The sequence below is a fragment of the Homo sapiens genome, chromosome 2, assembly GCF_000001405.40.
Source record: "Homo sapiens chromosome 2, GRCh38.p14 Primary Assembly".
Lineage (NCBI taxonomy): Eukaryota > Metazoa > Chordata > Mammalia > Primates > Hominidae > Homo > Homo sapiens.
Genome location: NC_000002.12, coordinates 174,454,454 through 174,467,421, shown reverse-complemented (window position 1 = coordinate 174,467,421; position 12,968 = coordinate 174,454,454). Strand labels below are relative to the sequence as shown.

The 12,968-nt window shown below is 40.2% G+C and overlaps 1 protein-coding gene across 7 annotated transcripts in view; it reads left to right on the top strand.

The window, feature by feature from the left end:
- The window catches only part of GPR155 (G protein-coupled receptor 155), a 55,459-nt gene that overhangs the window by 19,608 nt on the left and 22,883 nt on the right, over positions 1-12,968 (top strand). For 6 of the 7 annotated variants that reach the window (NM_152529.7, NM_001267050.2, XM_017003487.2 and 3 more), the window contains 5 exons: positions 795-878; positions 1,520-1,637; positions 5,750-5,834; positions 5,930-6,020; positions 7,334-7,544. In NM_152529.7, the coding sequence (NP_689742.4) occupies positions 795-878; positions 1,520-1,637; positions 5,750-5,834; positions 5,930-6,020; positions 7,334-7,544 (589 nt within the window). The remainder of the gene's footprint in view (positions 1-794; positions 879-1,519; positions 1,638-5,749; positions 5,835-5,929; positions 6,021-7,333; positions 7,545-12,968) is intronic. The other variant, NM_001267051.2, reaches the window with a different exon arrangement.

The following is a 12,968-nucleotide window of genomic DNA, read 5'->3' as shown; positions in this document are numbered from 1 at the left end:
GCAACTTCTCCCTCCTGGGTTCAAGCAGTTCTCCTCCCTTAGCCTCCCAAGTAGCTGGGATTACAGGCATACACCACCACACCCAGTAGAGGTGGGGTTTCGCCATGTTGGCCAGGCTAGTCTCGAACTCTTAACCTCAAGTGATCCGCCTGTCTGGGCCTCCCAAAGTGCTGGGATTACAGGCGTGAGCCACTGCACCTGGCCAAGGCATTAGTTTTTTTTTGTTTTGCTTTGTTTTGTTTTGTTTTGTTTTGTTTTGTTTTTTGAGATGGAGTCTTGCTCTGTCACCCAGGCTAGAGTGCAGTGGTGCAATCTTGGCTCACTGCAACCTCCACCTCCCAGGTTCAAGCAATTCTTCTGCCTTAGCCTTCTGAATAGCTGGGATTACAGGCGCCCGCCACTGTGCCCAGCTAATTTTTGTATTTTTAGTAGAGACAGGGTTTCGTCATGTTGGCCAGGCTGGTCTCGAACTCCTGACTTCAGGTGATCCACCTGCCTTGGCCTCCCAAAGTGCTAAGATTATAGGAATGAGCCACGATGCCTGGCCACATAAGTTCTTAAAGACCCTGTAATTTTTGGAGAGTTAATTTATTATGGGATCTCTCCATGCTTGTTATTTTACATTGGTTATAATAATTTACCTTTTTGGAACTAGACAGATTAAATAAAATATTGGAAATTCTTTCCGAACCAGGACAAAGAGGGTTATTTAAAGAGGCTAATCATTGTGTTATTTAATAAGTAATTATAAAGATTAAGAAACATGAATAACTTTTGAACCTTTTGTCTTCAAGATCTGGTCTCTGGCTATTCTTCTTTTGAGTAAGAAATATAAACAGCTTCCTCATATGCTTACAACTAATTTACTCATTGCTCAGGTTAGTAAAACTACTGATATTTAGAACTATGTTTTTCTAATGGATTATTCTACTGTAGAGGAGAAAATAACTTTGCTAGGTTTTTCTAGTTATGAAGTCAGAAGTATTACCAAATGCAGTCAATTACAGTTTGATTACAACTACTATACGCCTAACATATTTAATATTGCAAAATGTCTTAAACTATCTAAAGTTGAGGCTAATAATGGCATTTGATGATAACTTTGCATTTTTTAATAGAAACAATTTAATCATTAATAATTGAACTCTTTCACAATCATTTTTCTAATTAATCTTTGCATGTCTCAAATTATAATGGAAAGAACTTTAGCAATTTTAATGTAAGCCATTACTAAATACAGGTATAAAATTAATATTTAGAATGAAGTCATCTGTTTCAATTGGATATGTATATTGTCAAAGGCTCTGTTATAAAATGGATTTTTAACATAAAGTTTGAAGTTTTAGTATAAGTAGTGTGTAATACTTGATAATTATTCACAAAAAATTTTAAACAAATAATTATATTTGCTGTGAATGAAAGATGAATATGGCTGGCTTAATTGGAATTTTCTGTTGCAGTATTGAATTATATGGTTTTCTTAGCTATTTACAAAGTCTTTTAATAATTTTTTCCTTAGTCTATTGTCTGTGCTGGAATGATGATATGGAATTTTGTTAAAGAAAAAAATTTTGTTGGACAAATTTTGGTGTTTGTTCTATTGTACAGCTCCCTCTATAGCACCTACCTGTGGACAGGTGAGTTGGATTATGAATGGAAATTGAGATCTGTTCCCCACCCCACCCCATTCCTAATAGCCCTGAGCTTCTAGTGATCTATTTGAAGTCTGGTAGTACAGGATCAAGGCATGCACTGAGGCAGATCAGCCCACCCACAGAGGCCATCGGCAAAGCTGAGTTCTGTTTCCTAATGTACTCTATTCCTGCCTGGGCTTAGAGCCTTGTCCAGTCACATGGTCCTTTTCCCCAGGGCCTGTGGCTCTAGGCTGCTGTCAGTGCTGCTCCCTTTTGGAGACAAGAGGGAAGATACTGAAGGCAGATGGAGAAAGGCGGGAATGGGAAAGATGCGTGAGGTGTGTTCCAGAGCTCACTATCGAGTCCTGCTGAACAGGGAAATTCTGGCTCTGCCTCATGCAAATTACTTAACTTTTGAAGCCTCAGTTTCCTCATTTGTAAAACTAGGTTACAGCACCTTACAGAGTTACTTTGAGGACAAACTGAAATGTTGAGTATTTATGTCTGGTACATGGTAGGCACTAAATAAATAGAACTATGTTAGTTATTAAATAGAAGAATTAGAGGTAATAAGAGAAGAAGAAAACTAGGGGAATAAAAAGGCATGGAAATAGAAAAGGACCCAGTGAGAAAGACTGTTTCTCATTTCAGCTGGCTCCAAAAAGGATATTCAAAATGTTGTAGCACATTGCTATTTTGAAGTATAATATTTATGTGGATGCATGCATTCTGGTATGTTTGTGAAAAATTCTGTCTGGCTGTTTTGTATTCATCCTACAAATTTGAACCTATAAAATGGCACATGAAAGGAAATAGTAGAATGGTAGGAGGCAGGTGTCAGGAAGTGTCCACAAAGGACGGACCTTTGATTTCATGCCTTCAGGATCAAAAGCAGGTCCCATCTCAGTCAACAGCCTTTTGAAGTGAAGCAACAATGTGGTGAGGAATCATGGAATGAAAAATTCAGCACAAACAGAAGATGGTTTGTGCTTCTTAAAGGCAACTACATCTTGCATAGCATGAGTTTTTATGCAATGTCAAATTAAAAGAGCCTAAAGACTTTATATTTCAAAATATCGATGGACCAACTTGATGTCTAATAACTAGGCTTACTCAGGTTAACTTTATAATCAGAATAACAGAGCAGCAACTAGATCAATCAATTAAAATGTCCTAAGTCTCTCTGAAACCCCCTTCAAGCATGCACGCCAAAGTCTATTCAAAGAAGTCATTCTGAATTCCCAAAACCCAATAAAGGTGCCCTTTAACCATCAGGTTATTATGCTATGACAGAATTTTAGACCTGAAAATGTCATTTTAAGTCATCCCATTCGATCATTTTTAGTTCTACTCATTTTCATACCATCCTCACAATTTTTGCCATATCTGCATACTACTTGTTCTTTTTTCCTTAAAATTGATTTACTTTTTTTAAACTTTAATCAGTTGAGCCTTATATCAGTAAAATCCCAGGTTTCATTTGCTAATTAGTTTTTTTCAAATATGCATTAAAATAAACATATAACTAGTCAAAACATTTTCACCTTTGTGACACCTATAATCTCTACACCTTAGGAAACACTGGTCTAATTTAAATCCTTCATTTTGCAAACTGAGAAATAGGCCCAAAAAGATAGACTGATTTAGGCAGGAGCTCTCACAGCTTCAGTGAGACATCCAGGGCTAGCTGGATTCTGCCTGTTTGTATATAGTTCTTTTCACAAGGCAGGAGTGATGCACATTAGAATTTTAAAGACTGCCTTTGCTACTGTAACAAAGATGGCACCCTTTTGTGATTGGTTACTTGTTTCCCTGGCACTGCAACTACACAGTGTACAAATGGATTGAGGGAGGAAAAGTGGTAAAGAAAACCAATTCTCAAGGACCTCAATGTCAATTTATATTAAATCTAGCACAGTGTTATTTAATCTGGACAATCTTAAATCTAGGTATGTATTCTTTATATACAGCTAATATGCAATTCTAAAACCAAAGCAAATTCACAGATTCTATTCAAACAAAACTACAAACCCAGTAATTCTAATTAGCAACATTAATTAACATGACAAAGGATCTTGTTTTGCTAATGTAAATCATAGCTTGAAACATAAAATGGAACTCACTGCTATGGCTTTTTTGCCTTGCCTTTACTTCCATATGTGGGGTTTTGACCTTGTTATCTCACTGATATTCTTTCTTCAAACTACCATTTCATTTGGACTGTGCGTTGTAATATCATTTGGCCTTCACTTGACTCAAACTTAATATAAAACCCATTGTAAGCTCTGGCCAGGCACAGTGGCTCATGCCTGTAATCCCAACACTTTGGGAGATCCAGGCAGGAGGATCGCTTGAGGCCAGTAGTTCGAGACTAGCCTGGGCAATATAGTAAGACCCTCTCTCTATAAAAAATTTGAAAATTAGCTTTGCATGCTGGTACATGCCTGTAGTCCCAGCTACTCAGGAGGCTGAGGCAGGAGGATCCCTTGAGCCCAGAATTTTGAGCAGTAATTGTGCTACTGTACCCCAACCTGGTTAACAAAGTGAGACCCCCATCTCTAAAATAAAATAAAAATAAACCCAATGTAAATTCTGAAATCATGAGACTGCATGTTGGTTGCAAGGTGGATACACAGCTGACTACCACTGAAAAAAAAAAAAGAAAGAAAAAAAAAAGACTTAAAATTTCTCATAGAAATTCCCAGATCCTGAAGAATATGTCTTAGGTACCCTAGGGGTCCACAAATCTGAGTTTGAGAAACTGATTCAAGAAACAAAGAATTTAGCTTGTGTCAAAAGGCCAGGTTTCTAGTCTCACTCTGCCCTCTGCTGGCTGTATGACTTGGGCAAACCCTCATTTCCACATCTAAGGTGCTCATTTAAAAATAGAGGTCCCTTTCAACTTTAAAGTTCTAAGATCCTATAACTATGTAGAATTTATTAAATAAAATGTTACTTGCATACATAATTACATATAAGTTGTAAGGAAAGTTCAAGAACTTCAAAACATTTGTGTTTGTATTAAATTCAGAGTGTGTTTGTATTAAGTGCTATCATTACACTTAGGGCGTTTTCTAAAAACATAACCTGGGTAAGAGTTGCCCATACTTCTTAGCACCAGAAGAGGGGGATGTTTTTATTTTTAGAATTGTCCTGTATTCAATTAAAAAATGTTTTTCAGCTGGGCATAATGGCTTATGCCTATAATTCCAGAACTTTGGGAGGCCAAGGCAGGTGGATCACTTGAGGCCAGCAGTTCAAGACCAGCATGGGCAACATGGTGAAACCCATCTCTACTAAAAATACAAAATTAGCCTGACATGGTGGTGCACACCTGTAATCCCAGCTACTTGTTTGGCTAAGGCATGAAAATTGCTTGAACCCGGGAGGCAGAGGTTGCAGTGAACCAAGATCATGCCACTGAACTCCAGCCTGGGCAACGGAGTAAGACTCTGTCTAAAGAAAAAAAAAATGTTTTTCAGTTATACTTAGATTCCAAACACATGAATCAAAACAATAAAATGATTAGGGCTTTTGGAGAGAAATACTTCTCCAGACGCAGTGGCTCATGCCTGTAATCCCAGCACTTTGGGAGGCAGAAGTGGGAGGATCCACTGAGCTCAGGAGTTCAAGACCAGCTAGGGCAACATAGTATGACTCTGTCTCTACAAAAAAAAATTCTTATTTAGCCAGGCATGGTGGCATGTGGCTGTGGTCCCAGCTACTCAGGAGGCTGAGGTGGAAGGATCACTTGAACCCTGGAGGTCAAGGCTGCAGGGAGCTGTGATCACACCTCTGCACTCCAGCCTGGGCAACAGAGTGAGACCCTATCCAAAAAACAAACAACAAAAACCAGAGAGAAAATAAAATAAATCCTCACAGATAAAAAGAATTGAGTAAAGAAACAATATATGAGGGAAACAATGAATGATTTTGAATTAAAACTTGTTTCAAAATATTGAGGATAGCATTTATTTAGAAGGAAGAAATTCTAAAGCAAAAACCACACACTACTATGAAATAAGCTTGGTTTAAAAAAATAAAAAGGAAATAAAGTTTCATAAAGTCTGATCAATGTTGAGTAACTGTCTCTCTTTCAATCTTCTTATTCTTAGGCCTTCTAGCAATTTCTTTGTTTCTTTTGAAAAAGCGAGAGAGGGTACAAATTCCTGTTGGAATAATCATAATATCTGGCTGGGGGTAAGTTGGTAGTTCTCTGTTTGCTTACACCTTTCCATATAGACAGTTACTATTCATCCTTTCTTTTTCTCTCCCAATATCACTTGTGATTACAGAATTCCTGCTCTCCTTGTTGGTGTTCTTTTGATAACTGGAAAACACAATGGAGATAGCATTGACTCAGCCTTCTTTTATGGAAAAGAACAGGTGGGAAGAGTTTACTGGCAGTTCTGTTCTTGAGAATGTCTCTTTTTAGCTCGTTATGTGCCTTGCTAGACTTATATTAAAATTAACTTTGAAAATCTATTTCAATTTATTGCATATCAGATTGGTGATCCTATATCACTTTGTCTCATCTAGAACATGAACATTTTACATGTCTAAGTCCATTTTTAGCTGAAGATTTCTAAATGCTTAAAACTTATTGAATGTTCTTAATCACACTTAGGAATTGTGTTTCCTGTGCTGGAGAAAAGAGTGATTAATTTAAAACCATTTAATAAGTTAGCAGTAATAATAAAGGTCAAATTCTTGACTCTTAATCCTATCATAAATATAAATTTCAGGACAAAACGTATCTAGGAAAAATATTCTTGAAAAGCTATAGAGTAGGTGGCTTGTGGGACCTGCAGAATTCTTTAGGAGTGGAGTCCAAAGATGTGTTTTTAAAAAGCCTCTCCACATAATTTTGATTTCTTACTCTTTTTTTCTGTTTTGCAATTTTGGATTTTATTGTGTTTTTGTGAGAATAAATAAGATTATACATATAAAAGATTTAGAGTAGTCTTGGCATCTGGTTAGTGCTCAATAAATATTAGCTATAATTATTTTTAATATCATTACCATAAAAACATCTTAGTGACTGAAGTATGCGTGAATTATACGTGGAAGTGAGCAGAAACAGGAGTAAAGAAAACATCGGAGAGAAATCATTTAGATTCCTTGTAAAGGAAACCAGTGGCTGTGTTGGTAACCAATTGTTATACATGAAAGAAGCATCTAAAACCTTGTGTAATTACAAGCAAACCCTAATTTCTCTCCAAGTAACTTACATTCCTTATATACACTTACCTTTTTAAAAGAGCTACTGTTCTAGAGTATTTAAAACTGTGGAGATATATTGTCCATCAAAAACGTGCCCTAAGATGGCTGGGTGCGGTGGCTTACACCTGTAATCCCAGCAGTTTGGGAGGCCGAGGCGGGTGGGTCACGAGATCAGAAGATTGAGACCATCCTGGCTAACACGGTGAAACCCTGTCTCTACTAAAAAATACAAAAAATTAGCTGGGTTGTGGTGGCGGGCGCCTGTATTCCCAGCTACTTGGGAGGCTGAGGCAGGAGAATGGCGTGAACCTGGGAGGAAGAGGTTGCAGTGAGCCGAGATTGTGTCACTGCACTCCAGCCTGGGCGACAGAGCAAGACTCCATCTCAAAAAAAAAAAAAAAAAAAAAAAATGTGCCCTAAGATTATCAAGATGAAGTTGTGAAAAGTGGCCTGATATCTTTTTTTCATGTCGGCAGATGATCACCACAGCAGTCACCCTGTTCTGCAGCATCCTGATAGCTGGCATATCCCTCATGTGCATGAACCAGACTGCCCAAGCAGGAAGCTATGAAGGTTTCGATCAGTCTCAGAGCCACAAAGTGGTGGAGCCTGGAAATACTGCTTTTGAGGAGAGTCCAGCACCAGTAAATGAACCAGAACTTTTTACAAGCTCTATTCCAGAAACAAGTATGATCTTTTTAATTTTATTTTTATTTATTTGAGACAGAATCTTGCTCTATCATCCCGGCTGGAGTGCAGTGGCATGATCTCAGCTCACTGCAACCTCCGCCTCCTGTGTTTAAGCGATTCTGCCACCTGAGCCTCCAGAGTAGCTAGGACTACAGGTGCCTGCCACCATGCCCTGCTAATTTTTGTATTTTTAGTAGAGATGGGGTTTCGCCATGTTGCCCAGGCTGGTCTCGACCTGCTGAGCTCAGGCGATTCACCCGCCTCGGCCTCCCACAGTGCTGGGATTACAGGCATGAGCCAGCCTGATCTTTAAATATAAAGAAACTGCTACATGCCTTTATAGCATGTATCCTAAATGTTTTGTTTATGGGAAACTTCCTTGAACTAGTTTGAATATCATGAGTGCTTGTCAAATGAAGAATTTGAATCATAGTCAACAAACTTGCTTGTAAAATTATTCATTAGATTTTTGTTTATAAGTCTTATTGTGAGTATACACTTTTGTTAAATCCTAAAACTTCCCTGGACCTGAGAATATAGAAAAAAGTAACAACTGAAGGAAGGCCCTAACTAGGAAACGAAGCACATACATAAGTTAATTTAACAATATTGTATCAGGCAAGCACCATCAATAATATGAACTAAAGGAGGCCTGTTTAAAGCCAGATTAATGATGTAAGTCAGTTTTGGGCAAACTATAGTCCATAGGCCAAATCTGGCCCACCACCTGTTTTTGTATGGTCCACCAGCTAAAAATGTTTTTTTTCTTTGTTTGTTTATTTATTTATTTTTGCCACAGAGTCTCGCTCTGTTACCCAGGGTGGAGTGCAGTACCCTTGGCTCACCGTAACCTCTACCTCCTGGGTTCAAGCAATTCGCCTGTCTCAGCCTCCCCAGTAGCTGAGACTACAGTCGCACGCCACCACGCCTGGCTAATTTTTGTATTTTTAGTAGAGATGGGGTTTCACCATATTGGTCAGGCTGGTCTAGAACTCCTGACCTCAGGTGATCCACCCGCCTCGGCCTCCCAATGTGCTGGGATTACAGGTGTGAGCCACTGCACCCAGCCTAAAAATGTTTTTTACATTTTTAAAGGGTTGAAGAAAAATTAAAAGAAGACAAATACTTCGTGACTCTTAAAAACTACATGAAATTTTAATTTCATGTCCATAATTTTATTGAAACATAGCCATGCTCATTCATTTATATATCATCTATGGCTACCTTCATGCTATAATGGCAGAGTTGAGTCTTTGGGGCCTATACTAAGGCAGTAGGTATTGGATAAACAGGAGAGGCCAAACTCAGGCAAAGTTGTATTGACAGGGTTTGGTACTTGATTAGAAGCTGGGTGAGGGCTAAGAGAGAAACTGAGAACAACTTCCAGAAATCTAGTTTAAGTGAATGTATAATTGTGGGTATTACCTAAGAAGAATTCACAGAGAACAGAATATGTAGGGGAAGATAATGAGTTCAATTTGACCCTTCTAAGTTTGAGATGCATGAGACACCAAGGATTCATTTTAGTTTCTCAGTGTACCTCTTAAAATGGGATGCTTAGATCTGAATATAACATTCCAGTTACCATGGTCCTAGGACACAGTGAGCATTCAATATTTGATGAATGCTTGTTGACTGAGTGAAGAATAAGAGAATCATTCCTGTCCTTACTTAGAAAAGAAACTTTTAATTCTGCCTAACATTGCATTAACTTATTCTGATGATTTCATCTTGAATTTATGAGCAACTAAAAACCTGCCTCCCACCCCGAGTACATTACTGAACAGTTTCTCTCCAATCCTGAATTTTTGCATCTGGCTTTTAAAAGTCTAGGACAAAGCTGGGTATGGTTGCTCACACCTGTAACCCCAGCACTTTGGAAGGATTGCTTGAGCCCAGGAGTTCAAGACCAGCCTGGGCAACATAGTGAGACCCTGACTCTACAAAAAATAAAAAATTAGCTGGATGTGGTGGTACACACCTGTAGTCCTAGCTACTCAGGAGGCTGAGGCAGGAGGATTGCTTGAGCCCAGGAGGTCGAAGCTGCAGTGAGCCATGGTCACGCCACAGCAATCCAGCCTGGGCAATAGACGTGATCCTGTCTTTAAAAAAAAAGTCAAGGCCTGGTGCGGTGGCTCACACCTCTAATCCCAGAACTTTGGGAGGCTGAGGTGGGCGGATCACAAGGTCAGGAGTTTGAGATCAGCCTGGCTAACATGGTGAAACACCATCTCTACTAAAAATACAAAAATTAGCTAGGTGTGGTGGCGGGTGCCTGTAATCCCAGCTACTCCAGAGGCTGAGGCAGAAGAATCGCTTGAACCAGGGAGGCAGAGGTTGCAGTGAGCTGAGATCGTGCCACTGCATTCCAGTCTGGGTGACAGAGCAAGACTCTGTCTCAAAAAAAGTCTAAGACAGGACTTCAGTATTTGCCTAAGCCTATCAGGACTGAGATTTCTTTGTGTCTTGATTTGTAATCAAATATATTAACTTATTTATTGTATGGTGCTTCTCTTCTCTTCTTCTCTTCTTTTGAAACAAAGTCTTTCTCTTCTCTTCTTTTGAAACAAAGTCTTTCTCTGTCTCTCAGGCTGGAGCGCAGTGGAGCAGTCTTGGCACACTGCAGCTTCCACCTCCTGGGTTCAAGTAATCCTCCCTCTTCAGCTTCCCAAGTAGCCGGGTCTACAGGTGTGTGCCACCATGCCTGGCTAATTTTTGTATTTTTAGTAGAGGTGGGTTTTCACCATGTTGGCCAGGCTGGTCTCGAACTTCTGACCTCAAGTGATCTGCCTGCGTCAGCCTCCCAAAGTGCTGGGAATACAGGCATGAGCCACTGCGCCTGGCCCAGTTTTCTTTTTTAAAAGAAATAAAACTTACCAATAAAGTCAGAATGTTTGTTAGAATCTTTCATTCCTGTTAACTCCAGAAGTAACCACTATTATGAATTTGGATTGTATCCTTCCAGAGCACAATTTTACTATACTTTTACAATATGTGTGGTTTTCCATCAACAATATATAGTATTTTTATATGCTTTTACATTTTTATATAAATCTTATACTGTAGTTGTCTTCTTGCACTCAATATTTTTGAATTCATTTTGTAGATGTAATCAATGATATGCATATACCAAATTTTATTTATTAATTTCCTTATTGATGGATTAAGTTGCTTTAAAATATTTTGCTATTAGAAACAATGCTGTAATGTACAGCTTTATTCACATCTCCTTGAGTATACATCAAGATACATCAAGATTATACCTAGGATGTTGCTGAGTGCAGTGTTTCACACCTGTAATTCTAGCACTTTGGGAGGCTGAGGCAGGTGAATTGCCTAAGCTCAGGAGTTGGAGACCAGCCTGGGCAACATGGCAAAACCCATCTCTACAAAAAATAAAAAATTAGCTAGGCATGGTAGCATGTGCCTGTAGTCCGAGCTACTCAGGAGGCTGAGGTGGGAGGATCACCAGAGCCTGGAAAGCAGAGGCTGCAGTGAGCCAAGAGTGCACCACTGCACTCTGGCCTGGGAAACGGAGCGAGACACTGTCTCAAAAAAAAAAAAAAATTATACCTAGGATGGTAATTCCTGGGTCACAGGAAATAGGTAAGTTCCCATGGCTTTAATGTGAACCCTTTGTACTTTGTTCCTAATGTTGCATCTCTAACCTGACCCCTTTATACAGATCCAATCCCAGATTTCCTGCTGTCTACACATATATTATTTATATCTCAGCCAGGCGTGGTGGCTCACACCTGTAATCCCAGAACTTTGGGAAGCCAAGGCAAGCAGATCACTTGAGGTCAGGTGTTTGAGACCAGCCTGGCCAACATGGTGAAACCCCGTCTCTACTAAAAATACAAGAATTTGCCAGGCTGTGGTGGCAGACGCCTGTAGACCCAGCTACTCGGGAGGCTGAGGCATGAGAATCGCTTGAACCTGGGAGGCAGAGGTTGCAGTGAGCCAAGATTGTGCCACTGCACTCCAGCCTGGGTGACAGAGCGAAACTTCATCTAAAAAAAAAATAAAAAATTATTTACGTCTCTTTCTGAATACGTGGACAGCACTTGTTCTCTTTGTCAAAGGTACTGGAGCTTTTTAAACAAACAATTATCTTTCTTTTAGTGGTTCCATCATTCTTTAGAACTTCCCAGCTCAGCAACATCTCTGCTGTTTCCCCTTGAGGTGAATTAGCCATTCAGGGCGTGGAGTTCTCCCTCTGCAGGGTCCCCCTCCTCCCCCTGACCTCCCATCTCCCGACTTGGGCCTCCAGTCTCTCTGCTGGATTCTTGTAATTCCCTCCTAACTGAACTTCCTGTTTCTTGTCACTCTGGTCCAGTCTGTTTTATAAGGGAAATGGCCAAATTAACCTTCCTCACGGAGTTCTGGCCACATCAGGCTCCTGCTTCAGAGGCTGCAAGGGCCTTGCAGTGCCCGTGATGCCCAAAGCGCTGCACGTAGTGCCCAAGCCCTTCCACTGCCAGCCATATTCCCTCTCCGAGCCTATTCTGCCACCTCTCCCTGCAGCTGCCTGAGCTACCCAGTGAACCTTCCATTCTTTGGTCCGTCCAGCACTCGGCACTCATGTTATCACTTCTCTTCAGGGCCTTTAAAACCGAAGCTCACTAATTTCTCTGTTTGGTCATTTGTTTGTGTTTTTGTTGTTGTTGTTGTTGTTATTTTTATTTTTATTTTTTTGAGATGGAGTCTCGCTCTGTTGCCCAGGCTGGAGATCATTGTGTAATGATCAAATCAGGGTAATTAGCATATCTATCACTTCAAAATGTATAATTTCTTTGTTGTAGGAACATACAAAATCCTCTCTTCTATTTTGAGATGTACAGTATCTTTGTTGACTATAGCCACCATACTGTATGATAGGGCACTAGAACTTATTCTAATGTAACTTTGTACCTGTTGACCCCATCCCTGCCACCCCCTACCTGCCCAAGTATCCGGTACCCACTACTCATCCTTCCTTCCTTTCCCTTCCTTCTCTTCCTTCCTTTCCCTTCCTTCCCTTCCTTCCTTTTCCTTCCTTTCTTTTCCTTCCTTTCCCTTCCTTCCCTTCCCTTCCTTCCCTTTCCTTCCCTTTCCTTCCTTTCCCTTCCTTCCTCTCCCTTCCTTCCTTTTCCTTCCTTCCCTTCCCTTTCTTCCCTTCCTTTCCTTTCCTTCCTTTCCCTTCCTTCCCTCCCTCCCTCCTTCCCTCCTTCCCTTCTTCCCTCCCTCCTTCCTTCCTTCCTTCCTTCTTTCCCCAGGCTGGAGCGTGACTGCTCCCTGTAATCTCAAACTCCTGGACTCAAGCAGTCCTCCCACCTCATCCTCCCAAGAAGCTGTACTATAGCCATATGCCAGCATGCCCAGCTATTTTTTAAAAAGCTTTTTGTAAAGACAGAGTCTTGCTGTATTACCCAGGCTGAT